The 4,727-nt window shown below is 47.8% G+C and overlaps 2 annotated features.

The window, feature by feature from the left end:
* Positions 3,528-4,727: an enhancer, noted in NCBI's record as "CDK7 strongly-dependent group 2 enhancer chr11:12087483-12088682 (GRCh37/hg19 assembly coordinates)". NCBI's record gives its function as "activates an origin of replication core promoter dependent on BRD2, BRD4, P300/CBP, MED14 and CDK7 cofactors, with strong dependence on CDK7, by STARR-seq in HCT116 cells {active_cell/tissue: HCT116}" and the evidence as "EXISTENCE:reporter gene assay evidence [ECO:0000049][PMID:35650434]".
* Positions 3,990-4,512: an enhancer, noted in NCBI's record as "H3K27ac-H3K4me1 hESC enhancer chr11:12087698-12088220 (GRCh37/hg19 assembly coordinates)". NCBI's record gives its function as "activates a minimal SCP1, AML or CMV promoter by ChIP-STARR-seq in primed H9 embryonic stem cells {active_cell/tissue: H9 hESC(primed)}" and the evidence as "EXISTENCE:reporter gene assay evidence [ECO:0000049][PMID:30033119]".

Genomic DNA, 4,727 nt, shown 5'->3' with positions numbered 1-4,727 from the left:
CCAACCTTGGCTGGGGGTGAGTGAGATGTCTGAGGGAGCCGCAGAGCCAGGGTACACAGCGTGCACACCAGCGTGGCAGGGGACAATGTGTTCCCATCTTCGGAGGCCCTTTGGTCCTCATATTTCGTAGACTCAATGACACAGACCTTCTGGAACATCAGGAGACTCCTCAGAACACTCTGAACCTCTTATTGTTTACACAACAGCAGCTGCTATGAGATTCCCAGAGCTAATCCTTGTGCAATTACCCATGTTAGAAGTGAGGAGACTGAGGCACAAAGAGATTTGCACCTAAACTGGGATCCAAAAACTGGTGAGGGCTGATAAGTGGGTGGGCTATGGTCCCCAAGAATGTCCATTATAGGTCTGATGCTCTGATGGTGGGTTTCAATTAGTAGCAGCAGTAAACATCTCCAAATAAAATGTTGACTTTACCTCTGTGTTGTGGGCCCTGCCATTTGTGAACCGGATGGGCAGTAGTGGATGGTGATGCTCAGAGTTCTAGATGCCAGGGGTTTGATGGTGGTAGAAGTGGCCATCAGAGCAGGCACCCCACATAATTGCCCAGCCACATCCATAGAATGGGGCTTCTCTCATCATTAAGACAACAGATACGTGTCTTCATAAGGCCCCCAAACAACCAGCCTTTTAAATTTTGTTACTTGTTTTGTGACAGTATATAATCCTAAGTCACCTTTCTAAGTGACACTGACACTTATCTGAATCCCAGCGGCCCAAGCAGGATTCCATGGATAACGAAACCCACTTTGTCCTTTTCTTTAATAAAGTTGTCACCCGAATCCCTGCCCTCTCAACTCTCCACTATGAAATATGTAAGCCGTGATTATTTTTCCAAATGATACTGAAGTGCGTAGACTTTCAATAAGAAATGACTCGGGGTATTTTATTCAGCCAGAAATTGATGTGGATGTTTCTACAAAACTCTCATTTGGGTACTTTCTTATTTAAAATTTTTTCATGAAAATTAAGCAGCATTTTTGCATAATTGAGTGTTCTTGGGCATTTAGTTTTTTATGGCTGAATGTTTTATTTGAAAGTCTACATAAATTCCTTTGTGAAGGGAGGTGGAGCAGCAAGAAGAGGGAAAGAGGAGAGAGGAACGCGGCGCAGGGCCTGGCTACATGGGCCCCAGAGCACGTGTCGGCTGGGCAAGGGAATGGGCAGATGAATGAATGGAACGATTGTCAAGCAGGGGACGTACGTAATCATTGCTCCTCCCTGTCACCTGCAAGATCATCCAGAAATCTCTGATAAACAAACACCTGCCAGTTCAGGGCTCAGGGCCCTCTTCAGAGATTGGAGGCTACCTGGGACCCGGGACAGAGCAGTGGCTGATGGATACCAGATGCGACACCTACCCTTCCCTGCTGGCCGCCTGCTAGTTTATCAAACCCCTCCACATGGTTTCCTCCTGGGAGGAACACCCCTCCCAGGAGGCGGAGCAGGGATCTTCCTGTTGTACACTTGGGTTCTGCACCTGGAGCCAAAAGGAGCACTGTGCCCAGCTGGAAGAGGGGGAAGTCAGAATCAGCATGCAAGTTGGATGTCAGTGTGGTGAGGCCACTCTAAGCATAGGAGACCTGACAGGTGCCAAGTCCCAGCCAGTGTCTCAACCTTCATAAACCCGCACACTTAGATATCTCTCCCCACGAGGCCACAAAATTGAATTTGTAGATTAAATGGTGAGAATAATAAGAATATCATGTGTCCATTTTCTTTTTCCTTCTTTTTTTTTTTTTTTTTTTTTTTTGAGATAGAGTTTTGCTCTGTCACCCAGGCTAGAGTGCAGTGGCGCAATCTCGGCTCACTGCAACCTCCGCCTCCCAGGTTCAAGAGATTCTCCTGCCTCAGCCTCCCGAGTAGCTGGGATTACAGGTGCCCGCCACCGTACCCGGCTAATTTTTGTATTTTTAGTAGAGACGGGGTTTCACCATCTTGGCCAGGCTTCTCTCGAACTCCTGACCTCATGATCCACCTGCCTCAGCCTCCCAAAGTCCTGGGATTACAGGTGTGAGCCACTGCACCCAGCCCATGTGTCCATTTTCAAACAGCACACCTCCTTCATCTCAGACTCTGGAAAAGTACCCTAGGGGTCCCAGGCCCCACATACTCCACCCCTCCCAAGTGAGACTGCCCTTCAGTGAGAGACAGGGGGCTGGTCCCCTCTTCTCTGTAGGGTGGGACCATAAAATACTTCTGGTAGGGGGGAAACAATAGGGCCATTTGACCCTGAAGATCCAGGGGCCCCTACTTTTGGCTGTTGTCCACTAGAAAATTTGGGCAAAGAAACAGAGAGAGAATTGGTTAAAAGCACCAATCCTCAATTAAACCCACTGACTGTTTTTCTACATGAAAAATCTGAGCATGAAGAAATGAGCTAAGTGTTGAGTGGGAAGTGTCTCAAAATCTGCAAACTGCCAAGACTTACTAAGAATCTCAAAGACTTAACCCAAATTATTGAGGGACAATGGCTCGCTAGACCCCTCCCGAGGATGGTGAGTAGGATGACAATGACACGCGAGAGACAGCTAAAAGAAACAGGGACATTCATCTTGAAAAGCATGCAGCTGCTGTTTTTGAATCTCTGGGGCGCTCCAAGAGGAGCAGGCTAGTTCAGAGTGGCCTTTCAAGTGAGGACAATGAAGGGGGGTACACACAGGGAGACAGCAGGGAAAAATGAGGAGGGGCCAAGAGTGAGAGCCATCAGACCCAGGCTGGGCTGATCCATAAGGTCCTGAGCTCTCTGCCCCTGGCAGAATCACAACAGTCATTAATTCATTCATTGAATCAACCTATCAAGGTGAAAATCAGTGTGATGAGGCCACCACTAAGCTTAGGAGACCTGAGCAGGTACAGTGGTAAAACTGTGCATTCAATGAATGAATGAATATTTGGATACTGGAAGCAGGGCGTTCAGGACCTTACAGGCCAGCGCCTGAGGTCTAGCAATGTCTGGATGTACTGAGGTCTAGCAATGATTTGAATGCCAGAAGTAAAACTGACAAGACAGGCAAAGCTGTTGCTTTTAGAAAGCTCACATTCAAGCAGGAGAGATAAACAACACACACATACACACAAAAAAAAAGCCATGAAAAAACTAAAATGTATACATACACAGTAGAGATAGGGTTATGCAAAAAAAAAAAAAAAAAATTGAACAGGATTATGGGAGAGGGCATGCTTGTGTTTCCTTTGGATTGGGGAGTAGGAGTTAGCTTTTAGCTAGGAAGGTGGGAGGGGAGCATCAGGAGAGGACGGGAGAGAGTGACCTTTGAAATTCCTTCCTCTCTGAATCCACAGTCTCACAACATACCACTGCCCATTTGCTTACTAAGATCTGCAGAGGGACCCGTGCTGCAGTGAATACAGTTAAGGCAACTTTGCACTAAGCCCCCAGTGGGTGTTTGGATAGGGCCAGGCGTCCTGAGCATGGTAAAGTGGCAGCTTCCCCTTCCTCCCACCTGCCGCTCCCTGCACATTCTGCCTGCCTGGCAGGCTGGATTGTGTAACTGCTTGGGCTTGTGTTAAGAGCCTAGCTCAGCATGGAGCTTGTAAATCTTCTCTCACATCATGAAATGCCAGCAATTTCACAGCCAGGGATTCCTGTTCTCATAAAGTCCCCACACCAGCAGACTTACATCTAAAAGTGTCCTCTGGAATGACAGATTGATGTCAGAGCTGCCTGAAGCCAAACACCAGGGCAGGCAGCCTCGTGGCTCACTCGGAAGGAAGGGCTCCCCTGCAGCCCCTGGAATTGGATGTCATGATCGCCAGGCCTGGTTGGTGGGGCTCTGCCTGCAAAGGGATCGTAAAACACAGCTTCCTGAGGAGAAATGGAAATGATGGCCCCACACTGAGAACCAAGCACCTGGAACACATTTGTGTTCAACACTATTTGAGGGGATAAAAAGAAAAAAAAATGCTTCTAAACATATATGCAGTTGTAATCCATATGGGAAATACTCACTTTTGAGTGACTCTTACTTGGCTCCCATTAGAATGACCTGTGGAGCTTTTCAGAGATAAGCATACAGAGAACTGCGGTTCTCAGGAGATCCTGATTCAGGAGAATCTAGAATCTAGAAAGGGGCCCCTGCATCTGTGGAAAAAGTTCCACAGGTGAAGATTTACCACCCAATACGTAAGAACAACAAAAGATGAGTAACAAGAAGGACATCGTGGCAGCCTTCTAATACGGTCCCCAATGACCCCCACCTCCTGGTATTCAGAACTTGTGCAATCCCCTTCCCTGGAGAGTGAGCTGGACCTGGTGACTCACCTCTAAGCATTCAGCAGGGCACAAGATAAAGGGATGTCACTTCTATGAATAAGTTACAAAAAGGGGGTGGCCTGTTTGGGCACCTTCTTGCCTGCTCTTGTTTGCTTGCTCTCAGGAAAGCCAGTCGCCATGTTGTGAATTGCCCTGTGGGGAGACCCACATGGCAAGAAATTGATGCCTTCAGCCAACAGCCAGTGAAGACTTGAGGCCTGCCCACAGCCACATGGGCAAGCTTGGACATGCACCCTCTTCCAGCGGAGGCTTGAGACGATGGCTGCCCCAGGGGATACCTTGACTGCAGCCTTGTGAGTGATCCTGAGCCAAAGGCACCAAGAAGAGTGCTCCCAGATTCCCAATCCACAGAAGTTTTGAGATAATAAATGTGTTATTTTAAGCTGTTACATTTTGGGAATAATTTGTTATGCAG

The sequence above is a fragment of the Homo sapiens genome, chromosome 11, assembly GCF_000001405.40.
Source record: "Homo sapiens chromosome 11, GRCh38.p14 Primary Assembly".
NCBI classification, from domain to species: Eukaryota; Metazoa; Chordata; class Mammalia; order Primates; family Hominidae; genus Homo; species Homo sapiens.
Note: the sequence above shows the minus strand (reverse complement) of the source record. Positions and strands in the feature narration are given on the sequence as shown.